Raw genomic sequence first — 23,227 nt, forward strand, 5'->3', positions numbered from 1 at the left:
AGTAGCACATTAAAAAGCTTATCCACCACAATCAAGTCAGCTTCATCCCTGGGATGCAAAGCTGGTTCAACATATGCAAATCAATAAACGTAATCCATCACATAAACAGAACCAACGACAAAAACCACATGATTATCTCAAAAGATGCAGAAAAAGCCTTTGACAAAATTCAACAGCCCTTCATGCTAAAAACACACAATAAACTAGGTATTGATGAAACATGTCTCAAAATAATAAGAGCTGTATATGGCAGACCCACAGCCAATATACTGAATGGACAAAAGCTGGAAGCATTCCCTTTGAAAACCAGCACAGGACAAGGATGCCCTCTCTCACCACTCCTATTCAACATAGTATTGGAAGTTCTGGTCAGGGCAGTCAGGCAAGAGAAAGAAATAAAGCATATTCAAATAGGAAGAGATGAAGTCAATTTATCTCTGTTTGCAGATGACATGATTTTATATTTAGAGAACCCCATCATCTCAGCCCAGAAACTCCTTAAGCTGATAAGCAACTTCAGCTAAGTCTCAGGATACAAAATCAATGTGCAAAAATCACAACCATTCCTATACACCAATAATAGACAAACAGCCAAATCATGAGCAAACTCCCATTCACAATTGCTACAAAGAGAATAAAATACCTAGGAATACAACTTACAAGGGATGTGAAGGACCTCTTCAAGGAGAACTACAAACCACTGCTCAAGGAAATCAGAGAGGACACAAACAAATGGAAGAACATTCCATGCTCATGGATAGGAAAAATAAATATTGTGAAAATGGCCATACTGCCCAAAGTAATTTATAGATTCAATGCTATCCCCATCAAGCTACCATTGACTTTCTTCACAGAATTAGAAAAACCTACTTTAAATTTCATATGGAATGAAAAAAGAGCCCATATAGCCAAGAAAATCCTAAGCAAAAAGAACAAAGCTGGAGGCATCACGCTACCTGACTTCAAACTATACTACAAGGCTAAAATAACCAAAACAGCATAGTACTGGTACCAAAACAGATATATAGACCAATGGAACAGAACAGAGGCCTCAGAAATAACGTCACACATCTACACACATCTGATCTTTGACAAACCTGATAAAACAAGCAGTGGGGAAAGGATTCCCTATTTAATAAATGGTGCTAGGAAAATTGGCTAGCCATAGGCAGAAAGTTGACACTGGACCCCTTCCTTACATCTTACGCAAAAATTAACTCCAGATAGATTAAAGATGTAAACATAAGATCTAAAACCATAAAAACCCTAGAAGAAAACCTAGGCAATACCATTGCATGTGCAAAGACTTCATGACTAAAACACCAAAAGCAATGGCAACAAAAGCCAAAATTGACAAATAGGATCTAATTAAACTAAATAGCTTCTGCACAGGAAAAGAAACTATCATCAGAGTGAACAGGCAACCTACAGAATGGGAGAAAATTTTTGCAATCCATCCATCTGACAAAGAGCTAATACCCAGAATCTACAAGGAACTTAAGCAAATTTACAAGAAAAAAACAAAAAACCCCATCAAAAATTGGGCAGAGTATATGAACAGACACTTTTCAAAAGAAGACATTTATACGGCCAGCAAACATGAAAAAAAGCTCATCGTCGCTGGCCATTAGAGAAATGCAAATCAAAACCACAATGAAATACCATCTCACACCAGTTAAAATGGTGATCATTAAAAAGTCAGGAAACAACAGATCCTGGAGAGGATGTGGAGAAATAAGAAAGCTTTTACACTGACGGTGGGAGTGTAAATTAGTTCAACCATTGTGGAAGACAGTGTGGCAATTTCTTAAGGATCTAGAACTAGAAATACCATTTGACCCAGCAATCCCATTACTGGGTATATACCCAAAGGATTATAAATCATTCTACTATAAAGACACATGCACACGTATGTTTATTAAAGCACTATTCACAATATCAAAGACTTGGAACCAACCCAGATGCCCATCAGTGATAGACTGGATAAAGAAAATGTGGCAAATATACACCATGGAATAATATGCAGCCATAAAACAGAATGAGTTCATGTCCTTTGCAGGGACATGGATGAAGCTGGAAACCATCATTCTCAGCAAACTAACAGAACAGAAAACCCAATACCGCATGTTCTCACTCATAAGTGGGAGTTGAACAATGAGAACACATGGATACAGGGAAGGGAACATCGCACATGGGTGCCTGTCAGAGGGTGGGGGGTTAGGGGAGGGATAGCATTAGGAGAAATACCTAATGTAGATGACGGGTTGATGGGTGCAGCAAACCACCATGGCACATGTATATCTATGTAAGAAACCTGAACGTTCTACACATGTGTCCCAGAACTTAAAGTATAATAATTAAAAAAAAAAGGTGTTCCCATTATTTTAAACTAGATACTTATTATGTTGCATTTAAAGTTAGTTTGAAAATATGACATTTTAGTTGATTAATTTATAGCTAATGTGTTGATTTTGCACTCAGTAAGGGCATTGCTTTTAAGCTCCATGTTCAAAGGTTTCTCTTCATTTGAGTATTAGAAACGTGAAACTTAGAAACTCTACCAGTTACTGCACATGGACATCAAAATAAGAAACTGACTTTACTTCTTATAGTAAGAAACTATTAACCTGTATCTATTTTTTAACCTTTCTGTGTTATAGTTAGGTATATTTGTCATCTAAGTTCCACTTATGGGAGCTCTTATTTCAATTTCTTTAAAATAAGCAATTAGAAAACTAAAGTCAGGTAATGCCTTTTAGAAAGTATTTTCACTACATGATGCCTGATAGTTTGCAGAATGAAACAAATTTATCAGTGTGAGGCACTGAGCCCTACTAGTGGGAGATGGTTACTAAGTATTTTGTGAATTGATGAATGAAGAACTGAAAAGGCATTCTAAACCTGGGTTCATTCCTCTAAAGTTTTGTATGTCAAAGAGCAGAGATTTTAAATATTTAACATCACTGTGAATTTGCTTTTTCTAGATATCAGCGTTTATTCCAAATTCAGAAAGGTCAGCTGGCTTGTATCTGATCACATAGCTAGTTACTACCAAAGACAAATCAAACCCCCAGCACACAGCATCCCATTTTTCCTGAAAAGCTGTCGCTGGCTTCACAACATATCTGCAACTCTTGACATTTGCAGCAGTTTTCTCTTCAGTAACATGTAAAAATTGTTTCAAGTCTCCAGAAGTCCTCCTACTTATTCCATGATTATATTTGGGTTATGAAAATGAATGAGCCTATTTGAGAATTTGAATGGAAAGCTCTTGCTCAGTCACTTTGCATAGTTTCTATTGACTTTATAATGCAATATTCAAAGAAAAGTTAGACTAATGTGAAATGGCAACAGAAATAATAATTTCCTTCTTGTTGCCTGTTAATTTTCATGAGGGATTCATTTAATCGTATTTCAATTCCATAGAGACTGAAGAGATGCAGTTGGGATGATACAAACAGCCTATCTTTGTCATTCTAATTTTTTGCTGTGTAGATCTATGCACTTGGCAAGGTAAATAACAATGAATAATAAAATAATGTAAAATGATTATGTGGAGCCATCTCTCTGTAGGTAGCAAAAGACAGATTCTGTAATAGAGGAAATTAATAAAGCAAAGAGAAAATTAGTAATATTAATTTTTAGTCTACTGTTATTTCTGCATTGCCAAGCCTATCTGTGGTACTGAGTTTCTCTTTTTAAAATAACTCATAATGCTTTCTAAATTTTTGCGGGTCTGATCACCTGTTTGCTAAAGAAATTACTATATTTTTAATATTCCCGCTAAAGAGAAACATAGCACTTATAACCAGTTACCCTCTGAAAAAATTCTGATCTTCCACACTTGTTCGTGTTCATCTCTCATGCCCATCCTTACTCTGTGTCTCTTCATACAGTTTCTCGCATGACCTTCTAGCCTTACCAGACTTTCAGGCCTAGTCCTAAAGGGGCGAGGTGCTGGGTTTCAGCCCTCTGGGAGTGTAGCTTAGCTACAAATGCAGACCAAAACCCAGACCAATGAGCTCCCCAAAGTGCTGCACTATGAGGACAACGTGAGTGTGAAAAGGCTATGTAAATCCTTCAGTTGTTCTGGCAGGCACTTCACAGAGCACGCCACCCTCAAGGTCAGCCACATCTTTTTGAACAAAGAACACTGCAGAAGTTGCGGGGAGTCAGGGATTATAGAGGACTGAAGTTACTTCTACAGTAGCTATAATGGAAGCTGTTTAGGGAGATGTCAATATTTCTGTCAATAAACTCCTGATACTTATACATACTGAAACACACAATAAACTCAAAGTGATGCCCTACAAATAATGCCTTTCTGAGCTGTTAACCAAATACCCACTGATGGCTTCTTTCCCCCCAAGTCTCTCTCCATGTTCTCCAGCAACTCTGCATGAAGATGGACCAGTGTGGGCTCTCGATTTAATCTTCATAGCCCAGGAGAAAGAGCCTGGAACTTATCTTCAAACTATTTATAATTAATTCTCAAATTATGATCTAGTTTCTGGATCTCCAACTCCTTGAGGAGTTCTCTAATGTTTGGACACATGTATTTCCTACAGAAAATCTGGAACCCTTTCTAATGGTGACCCTTTTTATTAAACCACACTGCCTTTCATCCATACTAAAGCACAGCTCATACAGTCAATTAAAGAATGTGATGGAAGCTAGAGAAAATGGAGACGCAGCCAGGCTGAGTTTTCTGTCCATACACTACATTTTGGAGGAGATTAAATGCACTTAGGGTCTTCATATATTCTTTCCTAGCCTCCTTCTCACTTTTCAAGCTGCCCTTGGCTGACCTGAACTCTGGCTACATCTCCCCTAAGAAGGGAAAGCAGAACCCAGAGTCTCCACCAGAAACCAGAAAGCAATGGTTCTGTCATTTTGCATTAGTATCAGAAAGCTGGGGAGCTTTTTAAAAATCTTGATGTTTAGGTCCATCTAGATCAGTTGCATCAGTTGCTCTAGGAATGGGACCAGACTTGGATAGTTTTCTGGGTAACAATTTCACTTGTTTTCTTTCTCAAGAATTATTTCTGTCTTGATGATGAAAGCTAGTGCATTAATTTTCACTTCTAGAAGTTCATCTTTTTTTATCCTTTTACCTCCTTGCAGAAGTCATGCAAAATATGCTAGTATGCTAGCCGATTAAACTGGAAGCCCAGCATTTATAACGGCCAGAAGAAATCCTTAAAGACAGTAACCTGATTCTCAGTTGTGAAGGGAAAAGAAATCTTCAGGTTTAATCTCCTTCTTTCTAATTCTAAAGCATCCCTACCAGACGCCAGGATAGCCTCTGCTTGCCCTCCACCAGGAATGAAGAACACGTGTCCCTAGGGGAGTCTGCACCATACTTAGCCTCTCTGGAGGTTAAAGAGGCCTTTAGCCACCAAGCAAAACATTACCTTTGCTGCCCATTAAATGGCAGGAGGCTTTCACATGAGCAGTTTCCTATGAGAGAAATCAGCTTTAGGGAACAAAATCTTTGCTTAGTATCACAGAAGAGTGAATTCTTGGTATAAATTCCCCCAGGCTAAAAAAGGAAACTCTGGGAAGATCAGTTCCTTTCATCCTTGTGACAGATGGCTTGCCTACAAGCCCATGACACTTAAACCTGTCATAAGGTAGTATCAAATTCATCCATCTTCAGCTCGATTTCAGATCTAAACTGAAGGGTATTGTTAGCATGTACTGTGAACAAGACCAAAAAGGAGTAGAGCTAGAGTGAGTACATGAGATGATAATACAGAGATCAATACCAAAGCATTCTAAACATCTATAGGATCCCCAGCTGTGATGAGATGCCAAATGCCAGGATCACCTATCTTCATGGTTTTCTTTTCTAAATCCATATGAATTAATCCTGGTTCTGAGTTTTCAAGCAATACAAATCTATCGACTAATTTAAGCAGAAAAAAAAAACTTGTTAAAAGAGTGTTGGGTCAATCACTATCCCTCCAGAAGAATCTGAAAACCAGAGAGACTCCACCTTGAGGACAGCAGACCACAACCATGTCAGGATGCTGGTCTGGTGAAGGACCATTCACAGCTGCCTTCCATGATGCTTCTAAAATCACGGCTACTATTACCTCTGGAAGTAGAGGGTGCTGCTGGTGCTGCCTCTACCATTTACTGGACTTGCTCCTGTGTTCTTCCTGCTTCTTCTCATGTTTAGCTTGCATTCTAAGTATGAGTGTGTCTGATGGGTCCAGGTCCACCGCCCTGAGCTGGCCATAGCTATAAGAACAGTGAGATTGCAAGCACCAGACGTTTTTAGCACTAGCCCTCAGAGCTGAGCTCCACCTCAGGAGGAGGGGAGTCCCCAACACAGGAGAAGCTGCACGTGCACCACAGTCCAGCAGAAACACAGCTGCTTTTTTTCTTCCAGTGCTACTCTGTGAACAGGTGCCCACCTGGGAACTATGCAACCCAGTGACAAAGACAGAAGTACAGAAATTGAGAGGAAGCATTTAGAAACTCTTCTTACAGCTGTTTAAGCTTAGGTTTTGTATATCTTTGTTTCATTTTATTTCATTTTTCTACTAATTCGTTTTGATTATAATTTGCAAAACTATCAGGCTACAATGGATTGCAAACAAAAAACCTGGCCTTTTAATGCAGAGAGTTTGAGAAGCACTCTACTTAGTATATATAATATATATACTATATTATATATATATATATATAAAGTAATATATACTTAGTAAAATAAATTCAATTCCTGTAAGCCAAGGAAAGTTGTAATTTTTATTCAATAGCAAAAAACTAATATATTGAACACTTACTGTAGTAAGTGTAGTATGCTCTGTAGTATGCTCATTTAAGCCTAGCTCTGTAGTATGATCATTTAAGCTTTATTATTCTATGATTCTAGTACTGTTTTTTATTTTGGTTTTAGAGATAAGAAAACTGAGACACAGAAAGATTAATGGACTTTCCCAAGCTATCTGATTCCAGAAATTTCACTCTTTTTAAATTTTTAAAATATTTTACTTATTTTATTTTGTTTTTTGGGAACAGGTGGTGATGGGTTACATGAATAAGTTCTTTAGTGGTGATTTCTGAGATTTTGGTGCACCCATCACCCAAGCAGTACCCAATGTGTAGTCTTTTATCCCTCACCACCCCCTACCTTTCCCTCAAGTCTCCAAAGTTCATTGTATCATTCTTATGCCTTTGCATCCTCATAGCTTAGCTCCCACATATGAGTGAGAATACACCATGTTTGGCTTTCCATTCCTGAGTTACTTCACTTAGAATAATAGGCTCCAGTACCATCCACGTTGCTGCAGAGTGCCATTATTTTGTTTCTTTTATGGCTGAATAGTATTTTGTGGTATATTTATACCACATTTTCTTTGTCCTTTCCTTGATTGATGGGCATTTGGGCTGGTTCCATATTTTTGCAATTGCAGATTATGCTGCTATAAATATGCATGTGCAAGTATCTTTTTCATATCATGACTTCTTTTCCACTGAGTAGATACCTAGTAGTGGGATTGCTGGATCAAATGGTAGATCTACTTTTAGTTCTTTAAGGAATCTCCACACTTTTTTTCCATAGTGGTTATATTAGTTTACATTCCCACCAATAGTATGAAAGTGTTCCCTTTTCTCTTACCCACCAAAACATACTTTCCCTACCTTGTATGACATTCCCAACCTAAGAGCAGCCAAGAGCTAACACAGTTAATAGTATTCAGTTCTTAAAAGTTGATTATCTTTAAAGGGCAAACATATTCATTTGTAAGACTCACTTGCTGTACTAGTCTCTTCTCACATTGCTATAAAGAAATACCTGAGATTGGGTAATTTATAAAGAAAAGAGGTCTAATTGGCTCATGGTTCTTCAGGCTATATAGGAAGCATAATGCTGGCATCTGCTCACCTTCTGGGGAGGCCTCAGGAAACTTACAATCATGATGGAAGGCAAAGAGGGGACAGGCACTTCACATGGCTGGAGCAAGAGGAGGAGTGTTGGGAGAGGTGCTGCAAACTTTTAAAGGACCAGGTCAAATGAGAATTCATTCACTATCGTGACGACAGCACCAAGGGGAATGGTGCTAAACCATTCATGAGAAATCTGCCCCCATGATCCAATCACCTCCAACCAGGCCCCACCTCCAACAATGGGGATTACATTTTAATATGAGATTTGGGCAGGAACACAGATTTAAACTCTTATCACTAGCTTTACTTCTGAGTAGGCTTCTGTGACTTCTGACTAGTCACACCGGATATACTGAATGTAAGATCCTAGAAGAAGCTGTCAGGAAGTGGTGGCGCCAGGTCATCTGGAGCTGCTGGGCTCAGTGACTAGCCAGAGATGAGTGTCCCAGCACCTGACATGTCAGGCTTTCTTGTGGGACCTAGTCCAGGTTGGTGTTGGGGTTGTAGAGCTTTCTCTGGGTAGCTGACCTGTCCAAAGTGTGGTACCATGAGAAGAGGAATGTCTGTTCACAATGACTAGGAATCAATCCACCTTCCCCATTCTTCTTACACAGCCAGGATTTCTATAAAACTAACATTTCAGACCTGACAGAAGTCACTAGTCAGAAACAGAAATACATCTGTGCTCTGAGGAAGGGAGTATCAACAATAAGTCTTATGAAGCCAAATGGCCTTTAATGCAAGAAACCACAATCTCTTCTCAATCTCCTTTGGAAGAAAACCATACCATATGGGCACAGTTCATTCTCCTTGAACAGAACCCTAAGATTAAACTGAGGTCTAATGATTGAGTTTGCAGAGCAGCAATCATATGAGTGTGGGATCACCCGATGAGATAGTTCTTTTAAGGCCTAATACAGCTCGAATGTCAGAGCTCTTCATGTTGAAAATAATATAAGAGTATTTTTTCATTGCAGGGATTATAAATTAAATGTATTTTCTGATATATCACTTTAATCATTTTAGAAAAAAAAATCAATAAAATGGGACCCAGCTTGCTCTGTCTTAGCCTCAGACACATTATCAATAATTATCTCATCTTTCAAAATGGCAGCCAACTCCCAACTGTTAAAAATTCTTCATTATAATTAAAATCATCCTTTTCAAATTTATCATCATATATTATTGTGTACCCTTCAAGCATTTAAGTTAAGGTAGAAAATATAAGGATTATGTTTAACCTACATGTTCAGGGTTGGCATAATTGCTATCTTGGTATAGATGCTGCCTAAAAGCCTTGTGATGGGGCAGGGAATTCAGAAGAATGTACATTTATCTTTGACAGAGAAGTTTTAAGGTTTGATTTGTTTTTCTTTAATTTTTGTTTTTTCTGGAAGATAAAATACTACCATTTTGCCCCATTCTTATTGAAAAATAGACTATGAGATACTCGGTGGTTTCTAAACCCATGTATAGAAAAACTGTGATTCACCAAACTAGATTTCCCACATGTTGGTTTCTCATCACAAGTTTTATGCATAACAATTTTTTCGTGTTGTAAGAATGGGTTTTATAACACCAAATTGGGCACCACGAATTCACTTACCATTCTTCAGGTGGTGAAATATGCGTCATTTTTGTTGGAAATATTGGGGCAGAAAGTCCAAAATGTGATCATAGGTACATTCCCTTAAGTCCCAGATCACTGCTGGTCAAATTGCCAGTTTTATTGATCACTCAGCCTTGTTGAACATCTGGAGACAATTTTTTCAGTGGGTGGTAGTGGACAAGAATATGTGGCTGAGTCATTCAAACTAATTAAATTCTAAAACCCACCTATTTTTACCAGACCATTCCAAGTAGAGATAATCTGTAAATACCAAACTATTTCCTAAAGTGTCTAGTATAATTTCAAACATGGATAACTGCCTAATAAATACTTATGGGATTAATTTTGTATAAGGAAAGTTTTAATCTTTCCTCCAAATAACTGCATTTGTCTTCTCCATTATTTTGTTGCTGAAGTGATCAAACAAAACCAGACTGAGAGGGTACAGAAGTCAACTTAGGCTGCTGTAACAAAATCCCACACACTTAATAGAAATTTACCTCACAGTTCTGGAGGCTGCAAGTCCAAGATCAAAGTACCAGCAAGGTAGATTTCATCTTGAGGCCACTTCTCTTGGCTTCTAGGCAGCCACCATCTCCCTGCCTGCTCACATGGCCACTGGGAGAGAAGGAGAGAAAGAGTGAGCTCCCCTGTTTCCTCTTCTTAGGAGGACACTAATACTATGGGATCAGGGAATCTTCTTTCTTTCTTTCTTTCTTTCTTCTTTTTTTTTGAGATGGAGTCTCGCTCTGTCTCCCAGGCTGGAGTGCAGTGGTGCGATCTCGGCTCAATGCCAGCTCCACCTCCCGGGTTCACACCATTCTCCTGCCTCAGCCTCCCGAGTAGCTGGGACTACAGGTACCTGCTACCACGCCCGGCTAATTTTTTGTATTTTTAGTAGAGATGGGGTTTCACCGTGTTAGCCAAGATGGGATCAGGGAATCTTATGGCCAAATTTAACGAGAATTACTTCCTTAGAGGCCTCATCTTTAAATATAGCCACACTGGGAATTACAGCCTCAACATATGAATTTTGAAGAGATACAAACATTCAGTTCATAATAGAGGGAAAAACGCAATTCATTTACAAGTGAATTCAATAGAGATAGTTGAAAATATCAAATTCAAGATATTAGTGGAGAAAACACAGCTTTCTAAGCAAGAAATCCAGTTGGTATAAAGTCTTTATTTCACTGGGAAAATTTTTACCATTTGAATCACAGTAATCCTAACACATTCTTTTAGAAAGGGCAAAGCGGTGGGATAAGAAGTAAAACATTTCCCCTCCAAAATAAATGTGGAAGGAAATATAATAAGCTGTGTATATGTGTGTTTACCCTTTTTAAAAACCCAAAGTCTTCCAATCAATGATGGAGAATGTTTCTAGTTTGATGTATTGGCTATCTACTGCTAGATAACAAATTACCCCAAACTTGGGTGACTTACAACAACAGCACTATTATCTCATGGTTTTTGAGGGCCAGGAATTGGCACTGCTTGGCGCCAGCTGCATCACAAGGCAGCAGTCAAGGTGTTGTCTGGGACTGCAGTCATCTCAAGGCTGGACCAGGGAAAGATCCACCTGACCTCACTCACGCAGTTGGTGGCAGGATGCAGTTCTTTGCAAGTTGATGGGTTTAGGGCTTTAGTTTCTCAAGAGCTGTTGCTCAGAGGCCTTCCCTGGTTTTTCACCATGTATGCCTCTCCACAGGGCAGGTTCCAGCACGGCATCTTGCTTCATCAGAGTGAGCAAGTGAGAGGGCGAGAGAGAGGATGAAACCAAGAAGGAAGTAGTCATCTTTCATAATCTAACCTTGGAAGTGACATCTTACCACTTTTTCCAAATTTCATTTATTAGAGACACACCACTGCATCCAATCCACACACTCCAGGGGATGTGATTACACAAGTATATAAATTCCAGAAGATGAGATTCCACTGGCACCCACGTCAGGGAGCACCTACCACAAACAGCAACTGGCTTCCTCTTTAATCAGGACAAAATGAAATGTGGAAGACCAAAGAAATGTTGAAACTCCAAGGACATTTTCCTGTAAAATGTTCAAAACATACAGATAATTCTCTAATGCCTGGTTCTGTATCTGTGGCCATATGTATAAGTCGCACTGGGCAAGTTAAATATCCATATTATTGTTAGTCACATTTTTTTTTATTTTTTTGAGACAGGTCTCACTCTTCCATCCAGGCAGGCAGTGGTGTGATCACGGCTCACCACAGCCTCAATTTCCCAGGTTTAAGGAATCCTCCTACCTCAGCCTCCTGAGTAGCTGGGAATACAGGTGTGTACCACCTAACCAGGGATTTTTTAATTTATTTTATTTTTTTTTTTGTAGAGACGAGGTTTCACCGTGTAGCCCAGGCTGGTCTTGAACGCCTCAGCTCAAGTGATCTGCCTGACTCAGCCTCTCAAAGTGCTGGGATTATAGGCATGAGCCACTGTGCCCAGCCTAGTCACATTTTTAAAAATGATATTCTCCTGTTTGATATATATGTGAATAAATTACCAAAAGAGAGCAAGAGGAAGAGAGAAGGAAATCAACTGAGGCACAAAGCTGGAATGTTCTCTACCAAATGTAGCCTGGATATGGTGTGTTCCTGTTTCTGTTTCTACAAAGCAGTATCAAGAAATAATTTTGAGGTGTGTGTGTGTGTGTGTGCATGCAAATGTATATGTGCATACCTGTGTGTGTGCATGAATGCATGTGTGTGTGTCTGTGTGTATGCATGTGTGTGAGTGGCCATGCATATTTTTACAGTGAGAACACAGGCAGGGGAAAGGCTCTGTGTCCCTGTGGGTGGCCTTGTATATTTACCTTGCTCTTTTCTCACTATGGCCGTAAAATCAGGCAAAGGGACTTTTTAGATTAGAGAGGCCTAAATTTGTCCTGACTCCAAAAAGCATTTCCTTTCTCAGAAGTACACTGTTTTTTCCTTAAAAAGCAACCCCAATGTATGTTGCTTAGTGCATCCCCAAAGTTACCCCCAGATAATCCCCATTATCATCAGTTAGTGGCTAATTTCAGTTATCCCTACTTGGCCCCTTCCTGAGGCTGGTTTATGGATGGTTATCCTGCCACTTGGGCTTTTCACCCTATAAACCAAGGATCTTCCACTTCCCTTAACTAGCAGGGTACAAGCAGTGTACACGGAGCCAAGGAGAAAATCCTCTTCTAATAAAATCTGACAAAACTTTGGAAGCTGCATATGTGTTTGCCCAAGTGTTTGCATGTGCACATGTGTGTGCCTAAGTCTCAGACATTTTCCAAGAATCGTGGCTCACAAGGCAACACCTCTTATCTAACAACTATATTCTCCCCAAAATGATTTAAAGTGCCATGAAGATTTCTTTACATTGAGCAAGTTCATTGTGGCTCACCCGCAATTACAAGGTGAAACAGTGCTTTGTTTTACTTTGGGCTGGAAAGAGGAAAGAGAAAAAGCTTACCAATTCAGGAGACAGACAAATTGCTTTTTCTAAACAAAGATTCACTGCACTTATAAATGTGTATCTCCCATAATTTTAAAAAAATCGTTTATATATGGGATGAACCTTATAAACAACAGAATAGTCAAGGCTATGGTTTTGTCCAATTTAAGGACTGGACTTGACAAGACCACCAATTGTTCTGTTGTGTTTTGGAAACTCGATCCAAGTTTACATTTCCAGCCAATGTTTCACTCCTTATGTTTATGACAGCACAAAAGAGCAGGCTCTGGGAATTTCTTGAGGGGAAGTCATGGCAGTCAGCACTGTCACTGAGAGGGAGAACGAGGGAGGAACATATGTGGAAGGGCAAGCAGGAGAATGGATGATCCCTTTTGGGTTAACATTTAAATCCCAAATTGAATTCCCCTACATGTCAAAAATGAAAATATTTTCAGTGTTTGCACATACATAGGAATTGCCAAATGGGATTTAAGTCTGAGAAAGCACCATAACATCAACCATTTGTACAGCTGTTGTTGGAAATGGCTCCAAACCATCAAGGCATGTCTAACAAGTATAAATATTGGCCCTCTGCGCTTCTAAGCTTTGTTAAGGTGTATCCCTAAAGACAGGGAGCTAACAAGTACCTCAGTAAACACGTAGAGTATTGGAATATTAACTCCGCTACTCATGGGGGTTGTCACTCCACAATCTTGGTATTATCTAGGCATAATACAGCCCTTTTATGGAAACTAGACAGTATCTTTTGGTACACTCAAGAAGCTTGGCTGTGCATTAGTATATGTGAAACTCTTTTAAATACATATGTGTTGTTTCCAGTAGAGTGGGGAGGAAAAGCCAGTGTTAAAAAACAATAAATTTCTTGGATTCTTTGCTCCGCCAGTAGCTTCCATGTTCTCTCTCTCAGCATAGAGAGCTCTTCCAGAGTCCAGACACCTGACTGGGTCTCCTGTGTCTGACATCATAACAGAACCAAAAGTTCAGAATATCCTTGAACACTTTTCCTCAAAAATCCCCTGATGGACAATCTGAGACAGCAAATTAAATTAAAGGAGATAAGTGCTTTTATAGTAACTAATTCATATTGCACTATCATCCAGGAAATTGTCAATAAGAATCAATTTTGCCCTCCAAATTCTGATGAACTGATTGTTATGATCCCTTTGTAAACACCACTTTATTTATTTATTTATTTATTTATTTATTTATTTATTTATTTATTTTTGAGATGGAGTTTCGCTCTGTCACCTAGGCTGGAGTGCAGTGGCGCAATCTCGGCTCACTGCAACCTCTGCCTCCTGGGTTCAAACGATTCTCCCGCCTCAGCCTCCTGAGTAGCTGGGATCACAGATGTGTGCCACCACGCCTGGCTGATTTTTGTATTTTTTAGTAGAAATGGGATTTCACCGTGTTGGCCAGGCTGGTCTCGAACTCCTGACCTCAAGTGATCTGCCGACCTCAGCCTCCCAAAGTGCTGGGATTACAGGTATGAGCTATAAACACCACCTCAAATGCTAGTACAAATGCCTTCCAGAAGCCACCGAGCTTTTTCCCCTTTGATTTAATTTTTGTAAAGTGATTTTTTAAACCATGTGAGTACTTCAGTAGACCATTTGGTCAGGTTTAGAAAAAAATCTAACAAGGAAATGAGGTCTAAGACCAATAACCTTCTGCACTTCTCTTTCACGGCCCACTCTGCCACTCTTGCATATTTCCCTCTACTTTACAAAAAAATGGCAAAATTGGTCTTTTGCCTTCGATCAAGAGTTTATTAACTAAATCCTGATAATAAATTTGGTGAAAACATTTTGGATAAATTGAAATTACTTGAATAGTGATATATTTAAAGAGATAATCTAGACAATTAGAAGAACCAAAAAAAATCTTCAAAAATCTATTATCTGTGCAGAGAGATTTCTAGCTTAAGTAGAGCTGTATTATCCTTGGCACTGCCAGTACTGCGGTTCCCCTAAGAGTTTGCTTTTTCTGTGTCCCTGTAGAAATATCTGGGCCTTGGTCTCTCCACATCATAAATAGTCAAGGAAGCAGACAAACAAGCAGAAAAAAGTGGGGCGGGGGGAAAGAAGGAACATTCACAACCTCTCAGAGACAAGGAATGGTATAATCCACTAGGAAGGAAACTGGTATGTGGCCAGATCTTACCAATGCCTGGCCACAAGTTAATGAAAACACTCCTCTCTGGGCTTCAGTGGTTAAAGATTCACAGGCTGAGAGATCATTCTCCTCAGAAGTGATTACCCATTCTTCTGATACACCCCCAAACATCCCTACCTGGGATTAAGATTCCTTGCTGTGTGACTTACCGGAGTGCTCGAACATGACTTCTGAGTATCTTCCTCATTGAAAGGCAGAAGCTCATGTTTCTTGGAAAATCACTAAGCGGCAGAGATTTTCCTATTGAACCAAAGTGGGAGAATGCAAGAGGAACTGTAGTGTCTCTAGAGTTAAAGCAGCAGAAGCTACTTGTGACTAGAATCAGTGAAACCTGCATCAAATGTATGCCAGTGATGTTTGGATGGCCTAAATCAGCAGTTCACCAACTCTCTGCCATATTAGAATACCCAAGAGCTTTGAAAACCTCCAATGCTTGTGATGTACCCCATATCAATTAAATCATGGTCTCTAGGGATAGGATCCAGGTATCAGTGTTGTTCTGAAACTCCCTCAGGTGATTTCAACATGCAGCCAAGTGTGAGAATAGGTGCATTTGTAAATGACTGCAGGCATATGGCACTGTGCATTGAACATTTCTGTCTCCAGAGTCCATTTATTCTTTTCTTCCACAGACATATGATCATTCAACAGCTATTCCCAACTAAAAACCAGGACTAACACTTGTAAGATACAAACAATACACAAACAAAAAAAACCAGGTGCTATAACCCAGGCTGACTTAAAAAGTGAGATGGGAGGAGGTGGACCATTCCTAACCGGAGGGAGATTTCTGATAGTCCTGACTTTAGAATGAAAGAAAAAGTTCTTGGGCCTATCAGACTTCATTCTCTCATTTCAAATGAAGAGCAGAACATTAACAGAGCTCAACTTTGGTATCCTGTAAGGCAGAGGTCCCCTAGCCCCTGGGCCACAGACCACTACCGGTCTGTGGCCAGTTAGGAACTGGGCCACACAGCAGGAGGTGAGCAGCTGGTGAGCGAGCATTACCACCTGAGCTCCACCACCTGTCAGATCAGCAGGGGCATTTGATTCTTTTTGTTTTTTTGTTTTTTTTAAGACAGAGTTTTGCTCTTGTTGCCCAGGCTGGATCGCAGCACAATCTGCTCACTGCAACCTCCGCCTCCCGGGTTCAAGCGATTCTCCTGCCTCAGCATCCCAAGTAGCTGGGATTACAGGCATGACGCCCAGCTAATTTTGTATTTTTAGTACAGACGGGGTTTCTCCATGTTGGTCAGGCTGCTCTTGAACTCTCGACCTCAGGTGATCCACCCACCTCAGCCTCCCAAAGTACTGGGATTACAGGTGTGAGTCACCGTGCCCGGCTGGCTTTCGATTCTTACAGGAGTGCAAGCCCTATTGTGAACTGCGCATGCAACGGACCTAGGTTGCACGCCCTTTATGAGACTCTAATTCCTGATGATCTGAGATGGAAAAGTTTCATCCTGAAACCATCCTCTGCCCCTCCCTGCATGTGTGAAAAAATGGTCTTCCATGGAACTAGTCTCTGGTGCCGAAAAGGCTGGGGACCGCTGTTCTAAGGCTCATCTGAAAATGAAGATCTACGTGATTGAAGTCTTGAGATTAGCCCTACCTTTTAACATGTAAACTCAAAACGCCATAAACAAATTCAGGAGGAGATCAAGAGTTTATTAACTAATTTCTGATCATAAATGTGGTGATATTTAGGATAAAATAAAATTACTTGAATAGTGATATATTTAAAAAGATAATCTAGATAATTAGAAAAAAAAACTTGAAAATCTATTATCTGTTCAGAGAGAGTCTAGCTTAATGATGGCCATATTATCCTTAGTGTTTTCTCTGCATAATTTATCTTTTTTGTGGTATTGTTGGTGCCATAACCTATTACCATTTAGATACTCAGGGTGAGAAATACTGAGATGGAGTACTTTTAAAAGGCCTCCAGTGAAACCATTTAATTCATCACTTGCTAATTCTACTGTAGGCACTCAGATATGTCAGGAGAGTAGAATGTTTAAATATCTTCAAGTTCTTGCTCAAGTCAGAGATGTACCAGTTACTTTTACTACAAGCCTAACCTAGGGACAGTCAGGTTTTCAATGATTTTATATCCCATCCTCTCCTTAAATTCTGCTCTGCATGGATCAGAATAGTTTCTGTGTCTATTAGTTCACTGCCCTTACCATTTAAAATGTTAGAAAGAAATGAAATCCCCAATGTAATTTTCTACATTTTAGAATCCATCCACTCAACAAACATTTATTAAAGTACATATTTATGTAAACTAGACTCTGTAATAGGAACTGGAGACACATCAGGAAACAAAAGAAAGATGATGTCCTTTGAGCTTACAGTCTAGTAGAGGGAGACACAATCAGCAAATATAAATGAGTATATTATATGTCAGATGGTGGTAAGTACCGCCAGGATAAAGTATCATAAATGAGTGAGAGGATTATTATTTTAAAGAGGTTATTCTGGAAGGCTTCCCTCTGGAGGTGACCTCTGAGCCCAGTTTAGATCCCAGCAGGAACAGATGGCACATTCAAAGGAGAAATTGACGAGAACTGAATAAAGGTGCTATTTACACAGGTATAGACAGTACCCACGGACTAGCTACAGTAGGAAGCTGTTACCACACACAGTCCTGAAGGGGCAGAGGGAGAGAGTGGCGGTGTTGGAACTTAGCAAGAGCTGTAGCCAAGAGGAAAAGTCTGCTTGACTGCAGTGGGGCCAGAAGTAAAGGAACTCAGCCACTGCCCAAAGCACCAGGCAGGAGGGAACAGCCCCAGGTTGCAAGGGAGATCAGTGCTCCCTGCCTCCTCCTGCTCACCAGCCTCCTGCCAGTGCTCCTGGGAGCCACAGCACTAGGGAGCCAGGAGAAGCAGTTCATGGAGGTCAGCCTCCTGCAGCACAAAGCGCAGAGCACAGAGAAAGCCTGGGGGACAGGGGAACAAACGGAGTGAGCCCTCCCATATCTTGAAGACAACACTCCAACCAGAGGGTAGGTCCTGAGGGAAGTGTGCATGGCACATTCTAGGAACAGCAAGGGGGTCCCTGTGAGCAAGAGGAAGGCATGTAGAAAGCCAGGTGGTTGACACACGGTAGGGGCAGATGATGTGGAACCATGCATGTTCTACAAAGACTGTGGCTCTTATGCTAAGAGGTGAGTTGAAGATGTTGCTGGAGAGTTTTGAGCAGAGGCGGGACATGCAGCTGTGTGGAAGACAGATCCTCAGGGGTCTACAACGGCAATGGCTGCAGGAGCTCAGAAGTCACAGCGGAAGGTCAGATGGGAGACTGGTAGTTTGAAATAAGGTGGTAGCAGCAGAGGTTATGAGCAGGGTTGATGAAATTGATTCCACTGTGCTTTGGGTTCGCAGCTTACTTATTACATCTGAAAACGTATTATATCATATCCTCATTCATTTTAAAGACATTGATTAAGCAACTACTATGTGCAAGGCAGGAATTCAGACAGTTCCTCAGCTCAAGCGAAGGAGAAAGGGAATGCAGTGTGCCTGACCCTTCATTAAGTATTTCACCTGGGCCCATTTGTTTTCTGTTTCATTTTTATAACAATGCTGTGAGGTGGAAACTATTTTCCTCATTTTACAGATTAAGAGATCAAGGCTTAGGCCGGGCGCGGTGGCTCACGCCTGTAATCCCAGCACTTTGGGAGGCCGAGGGGGGCGGATCACGAGGTCAGGAGATCGAGACCATCCTGGCTAACAGGGTGAAACCCCGTCTCTACTAAAAATACAAAAATTAGCTGGGCGTGGTGGTGGGCACCTGTAGTCCCAGCTACTCGGGAGGCTGAGACAGGAGAATGGCGCGAACCTGGGAGGCAGAGCTTGCAGTGAGCGGAGATCACGCCACTGCACTCCAGCCTGGGTGACAGAGTGAGACTCTGTCTCAAAAAAAAAAAAAAAAGAAATCAAGGCTTAGAGAGTTAAATATGTACAAGGCCTCTCAGCTGGGGAGAGGCAGGACAGGGTGGAAATCAGTCTGACCCCAATCAGTCTCTCCCACTAACCATCATGCCCCCACTAATATGGGATGTAAGACACGGACAGATACTGTTTATTCTATAACAATTGGCAAACTCTTTCAATGCCTCTTTCAAAGGATGCTATGAAATTATGAAACAAGAAATGGCCAGAGTTAATTTGTATTCATTTTAATAATCAGATATAAGCATAATACTTAGGGATGTTATAAATCAATTCTGAGTTTATGCACAGAAAATTAGTGCCACTGGGGCCAATGAACGTATCACCTGAATAATTTATGTTAATAATCGCATACATGGAAGAAATGACCATAGTAAGCATAGTACCTATTGAATTTCAGTTAACTTACTGCATAAAAGCATGATCTGAATGTACTTTTTTTTTTAATTTTGAATATGCCTTTGTCTACAAGGTCCAATTAAAAAATAATGGCATTGGGTATTCTTTTTAATGTTTCAAATGCAACTTCAAGCCAAAATTAGTCACCTGGTTGAAACGGAGTTATCCAATTGTGATCAAAATAATTTAGGTCAAATATTTCATATTAGAACTTATATTTGAAGACATAATGCTATAGGATGAATTAAATCATTTCTCTCTGTTTTACCTTGTATTGAAGAGACAAACTCAGGTTCAATGCATACGCCTGGTAAACACCCATATGGAGGCATGATCAAACTCCAATCCAGGCAGAAGTCCAGTCCATCAGGTAGGGCTATAGAGAAAACATGTCAACATTTGGAAAAGCTAGGTGCTTAGCCCCAGGCTGGCAGCCTTCATAGAATATTAGTCCCAGCCAGGCGCGGTGGCTTACGCCTGTAATCCCAACACTTTGGGAGGCCAAGGCGGGCGGTCGGGAGTTCAAGACCAGCCTGACCAACAGAGAAACCCCATTTCTACTAAAAGTACAAAATTAGCCAGGCATGGTGGCACACCTGTTGTCCCAGCTACTCACTTGCTCCTCGCTTGAACTCAGGAGGCAGAGATTGCGGTGAGCCGAGATCGCACCATTGCGCTCCAGCCTGGGCAACAAGAGTAAAACTCTGTCTCAAAAACAAAACAAACAAAACAAACAAACAAACAAAAAAGAATATCAGTCCCAGTAACAGAAGGGTCAAATGGACTTCTGGAATATGTAGCTGGTTATTGCAACACACAGCTAGCTTATAATGTTCTAATAACAAAAATCAAAGCTGATAACATTTTTATTTCAGGGCATATTGAAATATGAGACTTATCTAACCAAATCCTGATGGAAGCACAAACAGTAAATTTCAGTGATAGATATCATGCAGGTATAAGAACTATGGAGAAGTTACTGATTGATAGCAGTGACATATCACCTTTACATATGAAATTGTATTTTCTATTGCGTTTTCTGTTTAGGGTTTAGATGAGGTTTTACTGATGTCTATGGGAGTTACCTAAAAGATTCCTTCTAAGGAGAATATTCTGCCACATTTTTAGTAGGTATGTATGGAATATGTCAAATCTTGACACAATATTTATGAGGTAGAGTTTTACTGTTATTAAGCCTCAAAAAAAGGTCAATTCATAGAAGAAAATATCTGGAGTTGGCCCAAAAACTACACCCAACTCAATTCTAGCTGTGCCATCAGGCCTAGAGAGAAATTTAAATCTTTTTTTAAGGTTTTTTTTTCTTAGAATTGGACAGAGTGAATGCTAATTTTTTAAAAGGTGATAGCAAGTTGCTTCACAGAAGAAAAAATAAGCCTTCCAAACAGTTTAATGGTTTTAAGAATTTGGGTTTCATTGTGTGATGTTTCAGGTATTGACTCATTAATGTCTATAAAACAAATTACCAAATGAAAGTGTTTCAAAAATAGTTCAAAACTGTCAATATTCTAAAATACCTTTGTCCTATCTATTCTACTCGTTAATCTGTTAGGTTGGCACAAAAGTAATTGTGGTTTTTGCTGTTAAAAGTAGTGGCAAAAACCTCAATTACCTACCTATGTTTGGAAAGATATATATCAAAAAGTTAAAATGATTACCGATGAGTGAGGGGGATTATAGATAATCATTTTTCCTCTTTTTGATATTATTTCCTGAATTTTTAGCATTGTGCATGTATTATTTCTAAAATTGGCATTCTATAAAGCTATTTAAACTTTTTTTAATCTAGTTAATTTTGAAGGCAAGGAAACCAAGTATCATGCTTAGCACATGGAACAGGGCATAATTGGCACTCTCATAGAAAGCCTTAAAAGTCCTTTAAAGTTTTCCAGAGAAGAATATGAGATTAAAATATCATAAGTAAAGAAGGTGCTATAAGCTAGATATATTGCACTTAGTGAATATTTCATTTGCAAACATTACAACGTGAACATCTCCAATTATTTAAACTCTGTTGCCTTACAAATGATCACCCATTTTTGATGCTTAGGGCCCTTTTTCATACTTTTTTTTTTTTTTTTTTTTTTTTTTGAGATGGAGTCTCGCTCTGTTGCCCAGGCTCTGGAGTGCAGTGGCGCAAACTCGGCTCACTGCAAACTCTGCCTCCTGGGTTCACGCCATTCTCCTGCCTCAGCCTCCCTAGTAGCTGGGACTACAGGTGCCCGCCACCACGCCTGGCTAATTTTTTTGTATTTTTAGTAGAGACGGGGTTTCACTCTGTTAGCCAGGATGGTCTCAATCTCCTGACCTCATGATCCACCTTCCTCAGCCTCCCAAAGTGCTGGGATTACAGGCGTGAGCCACCGGCCCGGCCCCTTTTTCATACTTTTAAACCCAAGGCCAGCTGTAAAATTAGGATTTAAGACATGAGCTCAGAGTCAGCTGAATGACTGAGTCTACTTTTTTTTTTTTTTGAGACAGAGTCTCAATCTGTTGCCCAGGCTGGAGTGCAATGGCAGGATCTCAGCTCACTGCAACCGCTGCCTCCCAGGTTCAGGCAATTCTCCTGCCTCAGCCTCCCAAGTATGTGGGATTACAGGCATATGCCACCATGCCTGGCTAATTTTTTGTATTTTTAGTAGAGATGGGGTTTCACCATGTTGGCCAGCCTGGTCTCGAACTCCTGACCTCAAGTGATCCACCCACCTCGTCTACTTTTGACCTTAGATGTTTAGGTCGGAAATGTCAGAGGTTAGGTAGAGAGGCATGGATACTAAAATTGTTGATCTGTCATCTATTCCTCATTTCTGAAACCTAATGCAAATGAATAAGCCATCAGAATGTTGAAAAAAGCCTCTAAAACGACCTATCTCATAGTTCCAGCTAGGGTGTGGGAGAATCTCACCGGGTGTGAAGATAATGGTCTTTAAGCCAATCTGTATATTGTGGCTCTGGCGGACCAACAGTGGCATGTGCCACCAGTTCTCCAGCTGGAAAGCCCAGATCACAGGCCTAGGAGAATAACTCCTGCCAGTTCCTCCTTCCTCTGCCCCTTTGAAATGGAGATTATCTGGGGATGGGTTACTCAGGCATCTGTTGTTATTGACAAGCATCAGAAAACCAGCAGTCCTATCCCAGGGCTACTATTTCCATTTCTGTGTATGCCTTAATAACTCAATCTGAACATGAGAAGAAAAAAAAAAAACCCAGATTTGCCCAACTTAAGGCATTAAGTCTGAAGAAAGGTAACTATTTAAAGGTGTTTTACAATACGTAATAGGATGGCCTGGCATGGTGGGCCTTGCCTGTAATCCCGGCATTTTGGGAGGCTGAGGTGGGCAGATCACTTGAGGCCAGGAGTTCGAGATCAGTTTGGCCAACATGGCAAAACCCCATCTCTACTAAAAATATAAAAATTAGCAAGGCGTGGTGGCATGTGCCTGTAATCCCAGCTGCTCTGGAGGGTGAGGCACAAGAATCGCTTGAACCTGGAAGCAGAGGTTGCAGTGAACTGAGATTGTGCCACTGCACTCCAGCCTGGGTGATGGAGTGAGACTCTATCTCTCTCTATATATACGTATATATTTTTTTTTCATAAACATAGTTTTTCCTAATTCAACAAAATTTTGAAGGGTCTTCTAAATTTAACAAATATTTATCCAGTCTTCTATGCAATCACTCACCTTGATGCTGCAAGAGATA

General features: G+C 40.2%; 1 protein-coding gene and 1 long non-coding RNA gene across 12 annotated transcripts in view; one reads left to right on the top strand and one right to left on the bottom strand.

Annotated features, from left to right (window-relative positions):
* Positions 1–20,162, bottom strand: part of LOC107986343 (uncharacterized) — a 47,786-nt gene extending 27,624 nt beyond the window's left edge. For 2 of the 7 annotated variants that reach the window (XR_007058705.1, XR_007058703.1), the window contains exons 1-3: positions 19,776–20,035; positions 11,474–15,392; positions 10,009–10,126 (exon numbers count right to left, since the gene is read on the bottom strand). This is a non-coding gene — a long non-coding RNA (uncharacterized LOC107986343). Of the gene's footprint in view, positions 1–10,008; positions 10,127–11,473; positions 19,087–19,775; positions 20,036–20,123 lie in introns of those variants that run through there. The other 5 variants (XR_007058704.1, XR_001742396.2, XR_001742398.2 and 2 more) reach the window with 5 other exon arrangements.
* The window catches only part of FBXL7 (F-box and leucine rich repeat protein 7), a 439,614-nt gene that overhangs the window by 373,864 nt on the left and 42,523 nt on the right, over positions 1–23,227 (top strand). The window lies entirely within an intron of this gene.

This window comes from Homo sapiens, chromosome 5 (assembly GCF_000001405.40).
Source record: "Homo sapiens chromosome 5, GRCh38.p14 Primary Assembly".
NCBI classification, from domain to species: Eukaryota; Metazoa; Chordata; class Mammalia; order Primates; family Hominidae; genus Homo; species Homo sapiens.